Below are 20,202 nucleotides of genomic sequence, written 5' to 3'. Positions count from 1 at the left end.
CTTGCAGACTTTACAAAGACAGTGTCTCCAAACTCCTCCATCAAAAGAAAGGTTATACTCTGTGAATTGAACGCACACATCACAAAGTAGTTTCTGAGAATGATTCTGTCTAGTTTTTATACGAAGATATTTCCTTTTCTACATTTGGCCTAAAAGCGCTTGAAATCTCCTCCTGCAAATATCACAAAAAGAGGGTTTCACATCTGCTCTGTCTAAAGGACAGTTCACCTCTGTGAGTTGAATAGAGGCAACACAAAGAACTTACTCAGTATTCTTCTTTCTAGCGTTCTATGAAGAAATCCGGTTTCCAACGAAGACCCCAATGAGGTCCAAATATCTGCTTGCAGACTTTACAGACAGAGTGTTTCCAAACTACTCTATGAAAAGAAAGCTTAAACTCCTTGAGTTGAACGCACACATCACAAAGTAGTTTCTGAGAATGATTCTGTCTAGTTTTTATACGAAGATGTTTCCTTTTCTACATTTGGTCTCAAAGCGATTGAAATCTCCAACTGGAAACTGCACAAATAGGGTGTTTCAAATCTGCTCTGTCTAAAGGAAGGTTCAACTCTGTGAGTTGAATACACACACCACAAATAAGTTACTGAGAATTCTTCTGTCGAACATTACATGAAGAAATCCCGTTTCCAACGAAGGCCTCAAAGAGGTCCAAATATCCACTTGCAGACATTACAAACAGAGTGTTTCCAAACTGCTCCATCAAAAGAAAGGTTAAACTCTGTGAGCTGAACACACACATCAAAAAGAAGTTTCTGTGAATGATTCTGTCTAGATTTTATAAGAAGATGTTTCCTTTTCTACCGTAGGCCTCAAAGCGCTTGAAATCTCCAGCTGCAAATTCCACAAAAAGGGTGTTTAACATCTGCTCTTCTAAAGGAAAGTTCAACTCTATGAGTTGAATACACACAGCACAAAGAAGTTACTGAGACTTCTCCTATCAAACATTATATGAAGAAATCCCGTTTCCAACGAAGGCCTCAAAGAGGTCCAAATATCTGCTTGCAGACTTTACAGACAGAGTGTTTCCAAACTGCTCCATCAAAAGAAAGGTTAAACTCCTTGAGTTGAACACACACATCACAAAGTAGTTTCTGTGAATGATTCTGTCTAGTTTTTATACGAAGATGTATCCTTTTCTACCTTTGGTCTCAAAGCGATTGAAATCTCCACATGGAAACTCCACAAAAAGAGTGTTTCAAATCTGCTCTTTCTGAAGGAAGCTTCAACTCTGTGAGTTGAATACACACACCACAAATCAGTTACTGAGAATTCTTCTGTGTAACATTATATGAGGAAATCCCGTTTCCAACGAAGGCCTCAAAGAGGGCCAAATATCCACTTGCAGACTTTTCAAAGACAGTGTCTCCAAACTCCTCCATCAAAAGAAAGGTTATACTCTGTGAATTGAATGCACACATCACAAAGTAGTTTCTGAGAATGATTCTGTCTAGTTTTTATACGAAGATATTTCCTTTTCTACATTTGGCCTAAAAGCGCTTGAAATCTCCACCTGCAAATATCACAAAAAGAGGGTTTCACATCTGCTCTGCCTAAAGGACAGTTCACCTCTGTGAGTTGAATAGAGGCAACACAAAGAACTTACTCAGTATTCTTCTTTCTAGCGTTCTATGAAGAATTCCCGTTTCCAACGAAGGCCTCAATGAGGTCCAAATATCTGCTTGCAGACATTACAGACACAGTGTTTCCAAACTACTCTATGAAAACAAAGCTTAAACTCCTTGAGTTGAACGCACACATCACAAAGTAGTTTCTGAGAATGATTCTGTCTAGTTTTTATAAGAAGATGTTTCCTTTCCTACATTTGGTCTCAAAGCGATTGAAATCTCCAACTGGAAACTGCGCAATTAGGGTGTTTCAAATCTGCTCTGTCTAAAGGAAGGTTCAACTCTGTGAGTTGAATACACAAACCACAAATAAGTTACTGAGAATTCTTCTGTCGAACATTACATGAAGAAATCCCGTTTCCAACGAAGGCCTCAAAGAGGTCCAAATATCCACTTGCAGACATTACAGAGTGTTTCCAAACTGCTCCATCAAAAGAAAGGTTAAACTCTGTGAGCTGAACACACACATCGAAAAGAAGTTTCTGTGAATGATTCTGTCTAGATTTTATAAGAAGATGTTTCCTTTTCTACCGTAGGCCTCAAAGCGCTTGAAATCTCCACCTGCAAATATCACAAAAAGAGGGTTTCACATCTGCTCTGTCTAAAGGACAGTTCACCTCTGTGAGTTGAATAGAGGCAACACAAAAAACTTACTCAGTATTCTTCTTTCTAGCGTTCTATGAAGAAATCCCGTTTCCAACGAAGGCCCCAAAGAGGTCCAAATATCCACTTGCAGACATTACAGAGTGTTTCCAAACTGCTCCATCAAAAGAAAGGTTAAACTCTGTGAGCTGAACACACACATCGAAAAGAAGTTTCTGTGAATGATTCTGTCTAGATTTTATAAGAAGATGTTTCCTTTTCTACCGTAGGCCTCAAAGCGCTTGAAATCTCCAGCTGCAAATTCCACAAAAAGGGTGTTTAACATCTGCTCTTCTAAAGGAAAGTTCAACTCTATGAGTTGAATACACACAGCACAAAGAAGTTACTGAGACTTCTCCTATCAAACATTATATGAAGAAATCCCGTTTCCAACGAAGGCCTCAAAGAGGTCCAAATATCTGCTTGCAGACTTTACAGACAGAGTGTTTCCAAACTGCTCCATCAAAAGAAAGGTTAAACTCCTTGAGTTGAACACACACATCACAAAGTAGTTTCTGTGAATGATTCTGTCTAGTTTTTATACGAAGATGTTTCCTTTTCTACCTTTGGTCTCAAAGCGATTGAAATCTCCACATGGAAACTCCACAAAAAGAGTGTTTCAAATCTGCTCTTTCTGAAGGAAGGTTCAACTCTGTGAGTTGAATACACACACCACAAATAAGTTACTGAGAATTCTTCTGTGTAACATTATATGAGGAAATCCCGTTTCCAACGAAGGCCTCAAAGAGGTCCAAATATCCACTTGCAGACTTTACAAAGACAGTGTCTCCAAACTCGTCCATCAAAAGAAAGGTTATACTCTGTGAATTGAACGCACACATCACAAAGTAGTTTCTGAGAATGATTCTGTCTAGTTTTTATACGAAGATATTTTTTTTTCTACATTTGGCCTAAAAGCGCTTGAAATCTCCACCTGCAAATATCACAAAAAGAGGGTTTCACATCTGCTCTTTCTAAAGGACAGTTCACCTCTGTGAGTTGAATAGAGGCAACACAAAGAACTTACTCAGTATTCTTCTGTTCTTAAGCATTTATATGAAGAAATCCCGTTTCCAACGAAAGCCTCAAAGAGGTCCAAATATCTGCTTGCAGACTTTACAGACAGAGTGTTTCCAAACTACTCTATGAAAAGAAAGCTTAAACTCCGTGAGTTGAACGCACACATCACAAAGTAGTTTCTGACAATGATTCTGTCTTGTTTTTATACGAAGATATTTCCGTTTCTATGATTGGCCTCAAAGCGATTGAAATCTCCAACTGGAAACTGCACAAATAGGGTGTTTCAAATCTGCTCTGTCTAAAGGAAGGTTCAACTCTGTGAGTTGAATACACACACCACAAATAAGTTACTGAGAATTCTTCTGTCGAACATTACATGAAGAAATCCCGTTTCCAACGAAGGCCTCAAAGAGGTCCAAATATCCACTTGCAGACATTACAAACAGAGTGTTTCCAAACTGCTCCATCAAAAGAAAGGTTAAACTCTGTGAGCTGAACACACACATCAAAAAGAAGCTTCTGTGAATGATTCTGTCTAGATTTTATAAGAAGATGTTTCCTTTTCTACCGTAGGCCTCAAAGCGCTTGAAATCTCCAGCTGCAAATTCCACAAAAAGGGTGTTTAACATCTGCTCTTCTAAAGGAAAGTTCAACTCTATGAGTTGAATACACACAGCACAAAGAAGTTACTGAGACTTCTCCTATCAAACATTATATGAAGAAATCCCGTTTCCAAAGAAGGCCTCAAAGAGGTCCAAATATCTGCTTGCAGACTTTACAGACAGAGTTTTTCCAAACTGCTCCATGAATAGAAAGGTTAAACTCCTTGAGTTGAACACACACATCACAAAGTAGTTTCTGTGAATGATTCTGTCTAGTTTTTATACGAAGATGTTTCCTTTTCTACCTTTGGTCTCAAAGCGATTGAAATCTCCACATGGAAACTCCACAAAAAGAGTGTTTCAAATCTGCTCTTTCTGAAGGAAGGTTCAACTCTGTGAGTTGAATACACACACCACAAATAAGTTACTGAGAATTCTTCTGTGTAACATTATAGGAGGAAATCCCGTTTCCAACGAAGGCCTCAAAGAGGTCCAAATATCCACTTGCAGACTTTACAAAGACAGTGTCTCCAAACTCCTCCATCAAAAGAAAGGTTATCCTCTGTGAATTGAACGCACACATCACAAAGTAGTTTCTGAGAATGATTCTGTCTAGTTTTTATACGAAGATATTTCCTTTTCTACATTTGGCCTAAAAGCGCTTGAAATCTCCACCTGCAAATATCACAAAAAGAGGGTTTCACATCTGCTCTGTCTAAAGGACAGTTCACCTCTGTGAGTTGAATAGAGGCAACACAAAGAACTTACTCAGTATTCTTCTTTCTAGCGTTCTATGAAGAAATCCCGTTTCCAACGAAGGCCTCAAAGAGGTCAAATATCTGCTTGCAGACTTTACAGACAGAGTGTTTCCAAACTACTCTATGAAAAGAAAGCTTAAACTCCTTCAGTTGAACGCACACATCACAAAGTAGTTTCTGAGAATGATGCTGTCTAGTTTTTATACGAAGATGTTTCCTTTTCTACATTTGGTCTCAAAGCGATTGAAATCTCCAACTGGAAACTGCACAAATAGGGTGTTTCAAATCTGCTCTGTCTAAAGGAAGATTCAACTCAGGGAGTTGAATACACACACCACAAATAAGTTACTGAGAATTCTTCTGTCGAACATTACTTGAAGAAATCCCGTTTCCAACGAAGGCCTCAAAGAGGTCCAAATATCCACTTGTAGACATTACAAACAGAGTGTTTCCAAACTGCTCCATCAAAAGAAAGGTTATACTCTGTGAGCTGAACACACACATCAAAAAGAAGTTTCTGTGAATGATTCTGTCTAGATTTTATAAGAAGATGTTTCCTTTTCTACCGTAGGCCTCAAAGCGCTTGAAATCTCCAGCTGCAAATTCCACAAAAAGGGTGTTTAACATCTGCTCTTCTAAAGGAAAGTTCAACTCTATGAGTTGAATACACACAGCACAAAGAAGTTACTGAGACTTCTGCTATCAAACATTATATGAAGAAATCCCGTTTCCAACGAAGGCCTCAAAGAGGTCCAAATATCTGCTTGCAGACTTTACAGACAGAGTGTTTCCAAACTGCTCCATCAAAAGAAAGGTTAAACTCCTTGAGTTGAACACACACATCACAAAGTAGTTTCTGTGAATGATTCTGTCTAGTTTTTATAAGAAGATGTTTCCTTTTCTACCTTTGGTCTCAAAGCGATTGAAATCTCCACATGGAAACTCCTCAAAAAGAGTGTTTCAAATCTGCTCTTTCTGAAGGAAGGTTCAACTCTGTGAGTTGAATACACACACCACAAATAAGTTACTGAGAATTCTTCTGTGTAACATTATATGAGGAAATCCCGTTTCCAACGAAGGCCTCAAAGAGGTCCAAATATCCACTTGCAGACTTTACAAAGACAGTGTCTCCAAACTCCTCCATCAAAAGAAAGGTTATACTCTGTGAATTGAACGCACACATCACAAAGTAGTTTCTGAGAATGATTCTGTCTGTTTTTTATACGAAGATATTTCCTTTTCTACATTTGGCCTAAAAGCGCTTGAAATCTCCACCTGCAAATATCACAAAAAGAGGGTTTCACATCTGCTCTGTCTAAAGGACAGTTCACCTCTGTGAGTTGAATAGAGGCAACACAAAGAACTTACTCAGTATTCTTCTTTCTAGCGTTCTATGAAGAAATCCCGTTTCCAACGAAGGCCTCAAAGAGGTCAAATATCTGCTTGCAGACTTTACAGACAGAGTGTTTCCAAACTACTCTATGAAAAGAAAGCTTAAACTCCTTGAGTTGAACGCACACATCACAAAGTAGTTTCTGAGAATGATTCTGTCTAGTTTTTATACGAAGATGTTTCCTTTTCTACATTTGGTCTCAAAGCGATTGAAATCTCCAACTGGAAACTGCACAAATAGGGTGTTTCAAATCTGCTCTGTCTAAAGGAAGGTTCAACTCTGTGAGTTGAATACACACACCACAAATAAGTTACTGAGAATTCTTCTGTCGAACATTACTTGAAGAAATCCCGTTTCCAACGAAGGCCTCAAAGAGGTCCAAATATCCACTTGCAGACATTACAAACAGAGTGTTTCCAAACTGCTCCATCAAAAGAAAGGTTAAACTCTGTGAGCTGAACACACACATCAAAAAGAAGTTTCTGTGAATGATTCTGTCTAGATTTTATAAGAAGATGTTTCCTTTTCTACCGTAGGCCTCAAAGCGCTTGAAATCTCCAGCTGCAAATTCCACAAAAAGGGTGTTTAACATCTGCTCTTCTAAAGGAAAGTTCAACTCTATGAGGTGAATACACACAGCACAAAGAAGTTACTGAGACTTCTCCTATCAAACATTATATGAAGAAATCCCGTTTCCAACGAAGGCCTGAAAGAGGTCCAAATATCTGCTTGCAGACTTTACAGACAGAGTGTTTCCAAACTGCTCCATCAAAAGAAAGGTTAAACTCCTTTAGTTGAACACACACATCACAAAGTAGTTTCTGTGAATGATTCTGTCTAGTTTTTATACGAAGATGTTTCCTTTTCTACCTTTGGTCTCAAAGCGATTGAAATCTCCACATGGAAACTCCACAAAAAGAGTGTTTCAAATCTGCTCTTTCTGAAGGAAGGTTCAACTCTGTGAGTTGAATACACACACCACAAATCAGTTACTGAGAATTCTTCTGTGTAACATTATATGAGGAAATCCCGTTTCCAACGATGGCCCCAAAGAGGTCCAAATATCCAATTGCAGTCTTTACAAAGACAGTGTCTCCAAACTCCTCCATCAAAAGAAAGGTTATACTCTGTGAATTGAATGCACACATCACAAAGTAGTTTCTGAGAATGATTCTGTCTAGTTTTTATACGAAGATATTTCCTTTTCTACATTTGGCCTAAAAGCGCTTGAAATCTCCACCTGCAAATATCACAAAAAGAGGGTTTCACATCTGCTCTGTCTAAAGGACAGTTCACCTCTGTGAGTTGAATAGAGGCAACACAAAGAACTTACTCAGTATTCTTCTTTCTAGCGTTCTATGAAGAAATCACATTTCCAACGAAGGCCCCAAAGAGGTCCAAATATCTGCTTGCAGACTTTACAGACAGAGTGTTTCCAAACTACTCTATGAAAAGAAAGCTTAAACTCCTTGAGTTGAACGCACACATCACAAAGTAGTTTCTGAGAATGATTCTGTCTAGTTTTAATACGAAGATGTTTCCTTTTCTACATTTGGTCTCAAAGCGATTGAAATCTCCAACTGGAAACTGCACAAATAGGGTGTTTCAAATCTGCTCTGTCTAAAGGAAGGTTCAACTCTGTGAGTTGAATACACACACCACAAATAAGTTACTGAGAATTCTTCTGTCGAACATTACATGAAGAAATCCCGTTTCCAACGAACGCCTCAAAGAGGTCCAAATATCCACTTGCATACACTACAAACAGTGTGTTTCCAAACTGCTCCCTCAAAACAAAGGTTAAACTCTGTGAGCTGAACACACACATCAAAAAGAAGTTTCTGTGAATGATTCTGTCTAGATTTTATAAGAAGATGTTTCCTTTTCTACCGTAGGCCTCAAAGCGCTTGAAATCTCCAGCTGCAAATTCCACAAAAAGGGTGTTTAACATCTGCTCTTCTAAAGGAAAGTTCAACTCTATGAGTTGAATACACACAGCACAAAGAAGTTACTGAGACTTCTCCTATCAAACATTATATGAAGAAATCCCGTTTCCAACGAAGGCCTCAAAGAGGTCCAAATATCTGCTTGCAGACTTTACAGACAGAGTGTTTCCAAACTGCTCCATCAAAAGAAAGGTTAAACTCCTTGAGTTGAACACACACATCACAAAGTAGTTTCTGTGAATGATTATCTGTCTAGTTTTTATACGAAGATGTTTCCTTTTCTACCTTTGGTCTCAAAGCGATTGAAATCTCCACATGGAAACTCCACAAAAAGAGTGTTTCAAATCTGCTCTTTCTGAAGGAAGGTTCAACTCTGTGAGTTGAATACACACACCACAAATAAGTTACTGAGAATTCTTCTGTGTAACATTATATGAGGAAATCCCGTTACCAACGAAGGCCTCAAAGAGGTCCAAATATCGACTTGCAGACTTTACAAAGACAGTGTCTCCAAACTCCTCCATCAAAAGAAAGGTTATACTCTGTGAATTGAACGCACACATCACAAAGTAGTTTCTGAGAATGATTCTGTCTAGTTTTTATACGAAGATATTTCCTTTTCTACATTTGGCCTAAAAGCGCTTGAAATCTCCACCTGCAAATATCACAAAAAGAGGGTTTCACATCTGCTCTGTCTAAAGGACAGTTCACCTCTGTGAGTTGAGTAGAGGCAACACAAAGAACTTACTCAGTATTCTTCTTTCTAGCGTTCTATGAAGAAATCCCGTTTCCAACGAAGGCCTCAAAGAGGTCCAAATATCTGCTTGCAGACATTACAGACAGAGTGTTTCCAAACTACTCTATGAAAAGAAAGCTTAAACTCCTTGAGTTGAACGCACACATCACAAAGTAGTTTCTGAGAATGATTCTGTCTAGTTTTTATACAAAGATGTTTCCTTTTCTACATTTGGTCTCAAAGCGATTGAAATCTCCAACTGGAAACTGCACAAACAGGGTGTTTCAAATCTGCTCTGTCTAAAGGAAGGTTCAACTCTGTGAGTTGAATACACACACCACAAAGAAGTTACTGAGAATTCTTCTGTCGAACATTACAGGAAGAAATCCCGTTTCCAACGAAGGCCTCAAAGAGGTCCAAATATCCACTTGCAGACATTACAAACAGTGTGTTTCCCAAGTGCTCCATCAAAAGAAAGGTTAAACTCTGTGAGCTGAACACACACATCAAAAAGAAGTTTCTGTGAATGATTCTGTCTAGATTTTATAAGAAGATGTTTCCTTTTCTACAGTAGGCCTCAAAGCGCTTGAAATCTCCAGCTGCAAATTCCACAAAAAGGGTGTTTAACATCTGCTCTTTTAAAGGAAAGTTCAACTCTATGAGTTGAATACACACAGCACAAAGAAGTTACTGAGACTTCTCCTATCAAACATTATATGAAGAAATCCCGTTTCCAACGAAGGCCTCAAAGAGGTCCAAATATCTGCTTGCAGACTTTACAGACAGAGGGTTTCCAAACTGCTCCATCAAAAGAAAGGTTAACCTCCTTGAGTTGAACACACACATCACAAAGTAGTTTCTGTGAATGATTCTGTCTAGTTTTTATACGGAGATGTTTCCTTTTCTACCTTTGGTCTCAAAGCGATTGAAATCTCCACATGGAAACTCCACAAAAAGAGTGTTTCAAATCTGCTCTTTCTGAAGGAAGGTTCAACTCTGTGAGTTGAATACACACACCACAAATAAGTTACTGAGAATTCTTCTGTGTAACATTATATGAGGAAATCCCGTTTCCAACGAAGGCCTCAAAGAGGTCCAAATATCCACTTGCAGACTTTACAAAGACAGTGTCTCCAAACTCCTCCATCAAAAGAAAGGTTATACTCTGTGAATTGAACGCACACATCACAAAGTAGTTTCTGAGAATGATTCTGTCTAGTTTTTATACGAAGATATTTCCTTTTCTACATTTGGCCTAAAAGCGCTTGAAATCTCCACCTGCAAATATCACAAAAAGAGGGTTTCACATCTGCTCTGTCTAAAGGACAGTTCACCTCTGTGAGTTGAATAGAGGCAACACAAAGAACGTACTCAGTATTCTTCTTTCTAGCGTTCTATGAAGAAATCCCGTTTCCAACGAAGGCCCTAAAGAGGTCCAAATATCTGCTTGCAGACTTTACAGACAGAGTGTTTCCAAACTACTCTATGAAAAGAAAGCTTAAACTCCTTGAGTTGAACGCACACATCACAAAGTAGTTTCTGAGAATGATTCTGTCTTGTTTTTATACGAAGATATTTCCGTTTCTATGATTGGCCTCCAAGCGATTGAAATCTCCAACTGGAAACTGCACAAATAGGGTGTTTCAAATCTGCTCTGTCTAAAGGAAGGTTCAACTCTGTGAGTTGAATACACACACCACAAATAAGTTACTGAGAATTCTTCTGTCGAACATTACATGAAGAAATCCCGTTTCCAACGAAGGCCTCAAAGACGTCCAAATATCCACTTGCAGACATTACAAAGAGAGTGTTTCCAAACTGCTCCATCAAAAGAAAGGTTAAACTCTGTGAGCTGAACACACACATCAAAAAGAAGTTTCTGTGAATGATTCTGTCTAGATTTTATAAGAAGATGTTTCCTTTTCTACTGTAGGCCTCAAAGTGCTTGAAATCTCCAGCTGCAAATTCCACAAAAAGGGTGTTTAACATCTGCTCTTCTAAAGGAAAGTTCAACTCAATGAGTTGAATACACACAGCCCAAAGAAGTTACTGAGACTTCTCCTATCAAACATTATATGAAGAAATCCCGTTTCCAACGAAGGCCTCAAAGAGGTCCAAATATCTGCTTGCAGACTTTACAGACAGAGTGTTTCCAAACTGCTCCATCAAAAGAAAGGTTAAACTCCTTGAGTTGAACACACACATCACAAAGTAGTTTCTGTGAATGATTCTGTCTAGTTTTTATACGAAGATGTTTCCTTTTCTACCTTTGGTCTCAAAGCGATTGAAATCTCCACATGGAAACTCCACCAAAAGAGTGTTTCAAATCTGCTCTTTCTGAAGGAAGGTTCAACTCTGTGAGTTGAATACACACACCACAAATAAGTTACTGAGAATTCTTCTGTGTAACATTATATGAGGAAATCCCGTTTCCAACGAAGGCCTCAAAGAGGTCCAAATATCCACTTGCAGACTTTACAAAGACAGTGTCTCCAAACTCCTCCATCAAAAGAAAGGTTATACTCTGTGAATTGAACGCACACATCACAAAGTAGTTTCTGAGAATGATTCTGTCTAGTTTTTATACGAAGATATTTCCTTTTCTACATTTGGCCTAAAAGCGCTTGAAATCTCCACGTGCAAATATCACAAAAAGAGGGTTTCACATCTGCTCTGTCTAAAGGACAGTTCACCTCTGTGAGTTGAATAGAGGCAACACAAAGAACTTACTCAGTATTCTTCTTTCTAGCGTTCTATGAAGAAATCCCGTTTCCAACGAAGGCCCCAAAGAGGTCCAAATATCTGCTTGCAGACTTTACAGACAGAGTGTTTCCAAACTACTCTATGAAAAGAAAGCTTAAACTCCTTGAGTTGAACGCACACATCACAAAGTAGTTTCTGAGAATGATTCTGTCTAGTTTTTATACGAAGATGTTTCCTTTTCTACATTTGGTCTCAAAGCGATTGAAATCTCCAACTGGAAACTGCACAAATAGGCTGTTTCAAATCTGCTCTGTCTAAAGGAAGGTTCAGCTCTGTGAGTTGAATACACACACCACAAATAAGTTACTGAGAATTCTTCTGTCGAACATTACATGAAGAAATCCCGTTTCCAACGAAGGCCTCAAAGAGGTCCAAATATCCACTTGCAGACATTACAAACAGAGTGTTTCCAAACTGCTCCATCAAAAGAAAGGTTAAACTCTGTGAGCTGAACACACACATCAAAAAGAAGTTTCTGTGAATGATTCTGTCTAGATTTTATAAGAAGATGTTTCCTTTTCTACCGTAGGCCTCAAAGCGCTTGAAATCTCCAGCTGCAAATTCCACAAAAAGGGTGTTTAACATCTGCTCTTCTAAAGGAAAGTTCAACTCTATGAGTTGAATACACACAGCACAAAGAAGTTACTGAGACTTCTCCTATCAAACATTATATGAAGAAATCCCGTTTCCAACGAAGGCCTCAAAGAGGTCCAAATATCTGCTTGCAGACTTTACAGACAGAGTGTTTCCAAACTGCTCCATCAAAAGAAAGGTTAAACTCCTTGAGTTGAACACACACATCACAAAGTAGTTTCTGTGAATGATTCTGTCTAGTTTTTATACGAAGATGTTTCCTTTTCTACCTTTGGTCTCAAAGCGATTGAAATCTCCACATGGAAACTCCACAAAAAGAGTGTTTCAAATCTGCTCTTTCTGAAGGAAGGTTCATCTCTGTGAGTTGAATACACACACCACAAATAAGTTACTGAGAATTCTTCTGTGTAACATTATATGAGGAAATCCCGTTTCCAACGAAGGCCTCAAAGAGGTCCAAATATCCACTTGCAGACTTTACAAAGACAGTGTCTCCAAACTCCTCCATCAAAAGAAAGGTTATACTCTGTGAATTGAACGCACACATCACAAAGTAGTTTCTGAGAATGATTCTGTCTAGTTTTTATACGAAGATATTTCCTTTTCTACATTTGGCCTAAAAGCGCTTGAAATCTCCACGTGCAAATATCACAAAAAGAGGGTTTCACATCTGCTCTGTCTAAAGGACAGTTCACCTCTGTGAGTTGAATAGAGGCAACACAAAGAACTTACTCAGTATTCTTCTTTCTAGCGTTCTATGAAGAAATCCCGTTTCCAACGAAGGCCCCAAAGAGGTCCAAATATCTGCTTGCAGACTTTACAGACAGAGTGTTTCCAAACTACTCTATGAAAAGAAAGCTTAAACTCCTTCAGTTGAACGCACACATCACAAAGTAGTTTCTGAGAATGATTCTGTCTAGTTTTTATACGAAGATGTTTCCTTTTCTACATTTGGTCTCAAAGCGATTGAAATCTCCAACTGGAAACTGCACAAATAGGGTGTTTCAAATCTGCTCTGTCTAAAGGGAAGGTTCAACTCTGTGAGTTGAATACACACACCACAAATAAGTTACTGAGAATTCTTCTGTCGAACATTACAGGAAGAAATCCCGTTTCCAACGAAGGCCTCAAAGAGGTCCAAATATCCACTTGCAGACATTTCAAACAGTGTGTTTCCAAACTGCTCCATCAAAAGAAAGGTTAAACTCGGTGAGCTGAACACACACATCAAAAAGAAGTTTCTGTGAATGATTCTGTCTAGATTTTATAAGAAGATGTTTCCTTTTCTACCGTAGGCCTCAAAGCGCTTGAAATCTCCAGCTGCAAATTCCACAAAAAGGGTGTTTAACATCTGCTCTTCTAAAGGAAAGTTCAACTCTATGAGTTGAATACACACAGCACAAAGAAGTTACTGAGACTTCTCCTATCAAACATTATATGAAGAAATCCCGTTTCCAACGATGGCCTCAAAGAGGTCCAAATATCTGCTTGCAGACTTTACAGACAGAGTTTTTCCAAACTGCTCCATCAAAAGAAAGGTTAAACTCCTTGAGTTGAACACACACATCACAAAGTAGTTTCTGTGAATGATTCTGTCTAGTTGTTATACGAAGATGTTTCCTTTTCTACCTTTGGTCTCAAAGCGATTGAAATCTCCACATGGAAACTCCACAAAAAGAGTGTTTCAAATCTGCTCTTTCTGAAGGAAGGTTCATCTCTGTGAGTTGAATACACACACCACAAATAAGTTACTGAGAATTCTTCTGTGTAACATTATATGAGGAAATCCCGTTTCCAACGAAGGCCTCAAAGAGGTCCAAATATCCACTTGCAGACTTTACAAAGACAGTGTCTCCAAACTCCTCCATCAAAAGAAAGGTTATACTCTGTGAATTGAACGCACACATCACAAAGTAGTTTCTGAGAATGATTCTGTCTAGTTTTTATACGAAGATATTTCCTTTTCTACATTTGGCCTAAAAGCGCTTGAAATCTCCACCTGCAAATATCACAAAAAGAGCGTTTCACATCTGCTCTGTCTAAAGGACAGTTCACCTCTGTGAGTTGAATAGAGGCAACACAAAGAACTTACTCAGTATTCTTCTTTCTAGCATTCTATGAAGAAATCCCGTTTCCAACGAAGGCCTCAAAGAGGTCCAAATATCTGCTTGCAGACTTCACAGACAAAGTGTTTCCAAACTACTCTATGAAAAGAAAGCTTAAACTCCTTGAGTTGAACGCATACATCACAAAGTAGTTTCTGAGAATGATTCTGTCTAGTTTTTATACGAAGATGTTTCCTTTTCTACATTTGGTCTCAAAGCGATTGAAATCTCTAACTGGAAACTGCACAAATAGGGTGTTTCAAATCTGCTCTTTCTGAAGGAAGGTTCAACTCTGTCAGTTGAATACACACACCACAAATAAGTTACTGAGAATTCTTCTGTCGAACATTACATGAAGAAATCCCGTTTCCAACGAAGGCCTCAAACAGGTCCAAATATCCACTTGCAGACATTACAAACAGAGTGTTTCCAAACTGCTCCATCAAAAGAAACGTTAAACTCTGTAAGCTGAACACACACATAAAAAGAAGTTTCTGTGAATGATTCTGTCTAGGCTTTAGAAGAAGATGTTTCCTTTTCTACCGTAGGCCTCAAAGCGCTTGAAATCTCCAGCTGCAAATTCCACAAAAAGGGTGTTTAACATCTGCTCTTCTAAAGGAAAGTTCTACTCCATGAGTTGAATACACACAGCACAAAGAAGTTACTGAGACTTCTCCTATCAAAGATTATATGAAGAAATCCCGTTTGCAACGAAGGCCTCAAAGAGGTCCAAATATCTGCTTGCAGACTTTACAGACAGAGTGTTTCCAAACTGCTCCATCAAAAGAAAGGTTAAACTCCTTGAGTTGAACACACACATCACAAAGTAGTTTCTGTGAATGATTCTGTCTAGTTTTTATACGAAGATGTTTCCTTTTCTACCTTTGGTCTCAAAGCCATTGAAATCTCCACATGGAAACTCCACAAAAAGAGTGTTTCAAATCTGCTCTTTCTGAAAGAAGGTACAACTCTGTGAGTTGAATACACACACCACAAATAAGTTACTGAGAATTCTTCTGTGTAACATTATATGAGGAAATCCCGTTTCCAACGAAGGCCTCAAAGAGGTCCAAATATCCACTTGCAGACTTTACAAAGACAGTGTCTCCAAACTCCTCCATCAAAAGAAAGGTTATACTCTGTGAATTGAACGCACACATCACAAAGTAGTTTCTGAGAATGATTCTGTCTAGTTTTTATACGAAGATATTTCCTTTTCTACATTTGGCCTAAAAGCGCTTGAAATCTCCACCTGCAAATATCACAAAAAGAGGGTTTCACATCTGCTCTGTCTAAAGGACAGTTCACCTCTGTGAGTTGAATAGAGGCAACACAAAGAACTTACTCAGTATTCTTCTTTCTGGCGTTCTATGAAGAAATCCCGTTTCCAACGAAGGCCCAAAGAGGTCCAAATATCTGCCTGCAGACTTTACAGACAGAATGTTTCCAAAGTACTCTATGAAAAGAAAGCTTAAACTCCTTGAGTTGAACGCACACATCACAAAGTAGTTACTGAGAATGATTCTGTCTAGTTTTTATACGAAGATGTTTCCTTTTCTACATTTGGTCTCAAAGCGATTGAAATCTCCAACTGGAAACTGCACAAATAGGGTGTTTCAAATCTGCTCTGTCTAAAGGAAGGTTCAACTCTGTGAGTTGAATACACACACCACAAATAAGTTACTGAGAATTCTTCTGTCGAACATTACAGGAAGAAATCCCGTTTCCAACGAAGGCCTCAAAGAGCTCCAAATATCCACTTGCAGACATTACAAACAGTGTGTTTCCCAACTGCTCCATCAAAAGAAAGGTTAAACTCTGTGAGCTGAACACACACATCAAAAAGAAGTTTCTGTGAATGATTCTGTCTAGATTTTATAAGAAGATGTTTCCTTTTCTACCATAGGCCTCAAAGCGCTTGAAATCTCCAGCTGCAAATTCCACAAAAAGGGTGTTTAACATCTGCTCTTTTAAAGGAAAGTTCAACTCTATGAGTTGAATACACACAGCAGAAAGAAGTTACCGAGATTTCTCCTATCAAACATTATATGAAGAAATCCCGTTTCCAACGAAGGCCTCAAAGAGGTCCAAATATCTGCTTGCAGACTTTACAGACAGAGTGTTTCCAAACTGCTCCATCAAAAGAAAGGTTAAACTCCTTGAGTTGAACACACACATCACAAAGTAGTTTCTGTGAATGATTCTGTCTAGTTTTTATACGAAGATGTTTCCTTTTCTACCTTTGGTCTCAAAGCGATTGAAATCTCCACATGGAAACTCCACAAAAAGAGTGTTTCAAATCTGCTCTGTCTAAAGGAAGGTTCAACTCTGTGAGTTGTATACACACACCACAAATAAGTTACTGAGAATTCTTCTGTGTAACATTATATGAGGAAATCCCGTTTCCAACGAAGGCCTCAAAGAGGTCCAAATATCCACTTGCAGACTTTACAAAGACAGTGTCTCCAAACTCCTCCATCAAAAGAAAGGTTATACTCTGTGAATTGAACGCACACATCACAAAGTAGTTTCTGAGAATGATTCTGTCTAGTTTTTATACGAAGATATTTCCTTTTCTACATTTGGCCTAAAAGCGCTTGAAATCTCCACCTGCAAATATCACAAAAAGAGGGTTTCACATCTGCTCTGTCTAAAGGACAGTTCACCTCTGTGAGTTGAATAGAGGCAACACAAAGAACTTACTCAGTATTCTTCTTTCTAGCGTTCTATGAAGAAATCCCGTTTCCAACGAAGACCCCAATGAGGTCCAAATATCTGCTTGCAGACTTTACAGACAGAGTGTTTCCAAAGTACTCTATGAAAAGAAAGCTTAAACTCCTTGAGTTGAACGCACACATCACAAAGTAGTTACTGAGAATGATTCTGTCTAGTTTTTATACGAAGATGTTTCCTTTTCTACATTTGGTCTCAAAGCGATTGAAATCTCCAACTGGAAACTGCACAAATAGGGTGTTTCAAATCTGCTCTGTCTAAAGGAAGGTTCAACTCTGTGAGTTGAATACACACACCACAAATAAGTTACTGAGAATTCTTCTGTCGAACATTACTTGAAGAAATCCCGTTTCCAACGAAGGCCTCAAAGAGGTCCAAATATCCACTTGCAGACATTACAAACAGAGTGTTTCCAAACTGCTCCATCAAAAGAAAGGTTAAACTCTGTGAGCTGAACACACACATCAAAAAGAAGTTTCTGTGAATGATTCTGTCTAGATTTTATAAGAAGATGTTTCCTTTTCTACCGTAGGCCTCAAAGCGCTTGAAATCTCCAGCTGCAAATTCCACAAAAAGGGTGTTTAACATCTGCTCTTCTAAAGGAAAGTTCAACTCTATGAGTTGAATACACACAGCACAAAGAAGTTACTGAGACTTCTCCTATCAAACATTATATGAAGAAATCCCGTTTCCAACGAAGGCCTCAAAGAGGTCCAAATATCTGCTTGCAGACTTTACAGAGAGAGTGTTTCCAAACTGCTCCATCAAAAGAAAGGTTAAACTCCTTGAGTTGAACACACACATCACAAAGTAGTTTCTGTGAATGATTCTGTCTAGTTTTTATACGAAGATGTTTCCTTTTCTACCTTTAGTCTCAAAGCGATTGAAATCTCCACATGGAAACTCCACAAAAAGAGTGTTTCAAATCTGCTCTTTCTGAAGGAAGGTTCAACTCTGTGAGTTGAATACACACACCACAAATAAGTTACTGAGAATTCTTCTGTGTAACATTATATGAGGAAATCCCGTTTCCAACGAAGGCCTCAAAGAGGTCCAAATATCCACTTGCAGACTTTACAAAGACAGTGTCTCCAAACTCCTCCATCAAAAGAAAGGTTATACTCTGTGAATTGAACGCACACATCACAAAGTAGTTTCTGAGAATGATTCTGTCTAGTTTTTATACGAAGATATTTCCTTTTCTACATTTGGCCTAAAAGCGCTTGAAATCTCCACCTGGAAATATCACAAAAAGAGGGTTTCACATCTGCTCTGTCTAAAGGACAGTTCACCTCTGTGAGTTGAATAGAGGCAACACAAAGAACTTACTCAGTATTCTTCTTTCTAGCGTTCTATGAAGAAATCCCGTTTCCAACGAAGGCCCCAAAGAGGTCCAAATATCTGCTTGCAGACTTTACAGACAGAGTGTTTCCAAACTACTCTATGAAAAGAAAGGTTAAACTCCTTGAGTTGAACGCACACATCACAAAGTAGATTCTGAGAATGATTTCTGTCTTGTTTTTATACGAAGATGTTTCCCTTTTCTACATTTGGCCTCAAAGCCATTGAAATCTCCACCTGGAAACTGCACAAATAGTGTGTTTCAAATCGGCTCTGTCTAAAGGAAGGTTCAACTCTGTGAGTTGAATACACACACCACAAATAAGTTACTGAGAATTCTTCTGTCGAACATTACAGGAAGAATTCCCGTTTCCAACGAAGGCCTCAAAGAGGTCCAAATATCCACTTGCGGACATTACAAACAGTGTGTTTCCCAACTGCTCCATCAAAAGAAAGGTTAAACTCTGTGAGCTGAACACACACATCAAAAAGACGTTTCTGTGAATGATTCTGTCTAGATTTTGTAAGAAGATGTTTCCTTTTCTACCGTAGGCCTCAATGCGCTTGAAATCTCCACCTGCAAATTCCACAAAAAGGGTGTTTTACATCTGCTCTTCTAAAGGAAAGTTCAACTCTATGCGTTGAATACACACAGGACAAAGAAGTTACTGAGACTTCTCCTATCAAACATTATATGAAGAAATCCCGTTTCCAACGAAGGCCTCAAAGAGGTCCAAATATCTGCTTGCAGACTTTACAGACAGAGTTTTTCCAAACTGCTCCATCAAAAGAAAGGTTAAACTCCTTGAGTTGAACACACACATCACAAAGTAGTTTCTGTGAATGATTCTGTCTAGTTTTTATACGAAGATGTGTCCTTTTCTACCTTTGGTCTCAAAGCGATTGAAATCTCCACATGGAAACTCCACAAAAAGAGTGTTTCAAATCTGCTCTTTCTGAAGGAAGGATCAACTCTGTGAGTTGAATACACACACCACAAATAAGTTACTGAGAAATCTTCTGGGTAACATTATATGAGGAAATCCCGTTTCCAACGAAGGCCTCAAAGAGGTCCAAATATCCACTTGCAGACTTTACAAAGACAGTGTCTCCAAACTCCTCCATCAAAAGAAAGGTTATACTCTGTGAATTGAACGCACACATCACAAAGTAGTTTCTGAGAATGATTCTGTCTAGTTTTTATACGAAGATATTTCCTTTTCTACATTTGGCCTAAAAGCGCTTGAAGTCTCCACCTGCAAATATCACAAAAAGAGGGTTTCACATCTGCTCTGTCTAAAGGACAGTTCACCTTTGTGAGTTGAATAGAGGCAACACAAAGAACTTACTCAGTATTCTTCTTTCTACCGTTCTATGAAGAAATCCCGTTTCCAACGAAGGCCTCAAAGAGGTCCAAATATCTGCTTGCAGACTTTACAGACAGAGTGTTTCCAAACTACTCTATGAAAAGAAAGCTTAAACTCCTTGAGTTGAACGCACACATCACAAAGTAGTTTCTGAGAATGATTCTGTCTAGTTTTTATACGAAGATGTTTCCTTTTCTACATTTGGTCTCAAAGCGATTGAAATCTCCAACTGGAAACTGCACAAATAGGGTGTTTCAAATCTGCTCTGTCTAAAGGAAGGTTCAACTCTGTGAGTTGAATACACACACCACAAATAAGTTACTGAGAATTCTTCTGTCGAACATTACAGGAAGAAATCCCGTTTCCAACGAAGACCTCAAAGAGGTCCAAATATCCACTTGCAGACATTACAAACAGTGTGTTTCCCAACTGCTCCATCAAAAGAAAGGTTAAACTCTGTGAGCTGAACACACACATCAAAAAGAAGTTTCTGTGAATGATTCTGTCTAGATTTTATAAGAAGATGTTTCCTTTTCTACCGTAGGCCTCAAAGCGC

The 20,202-nt window shown here is 38.6% G+C and overlaps 1 annotated feature.

The window, feature by feature from the left end:
- Window positions 1–20,202: part of a centromere (Linear centromere model derived predominantly from reads generated in PMID: 17803354. This region does not represent an actual centromere sequence, as long-range ordering of repeats and unmapped WGS contigs is not provided by the model. For details of model production, see http://arxiv.org/abs/1307.0035.) that runs on past both edges of the window.

The sequence above is a fragment of the Homo sapiens genome, chromosome 12, assembly GCF_000001405.40.
Source record: "Homo sapiens chromosome 12, GRCh38.p14 Primary Assembly".
Taxonomy (NCBI): domain Eukaryota; kingdom Metazoa; phylum Chordata; class Mammalia; order Primates; family Hominidae; genus Homo; species Homo sapiens.
This window is presented reverse-complemented; position numbering and strand designations above follow the sequence as displayed.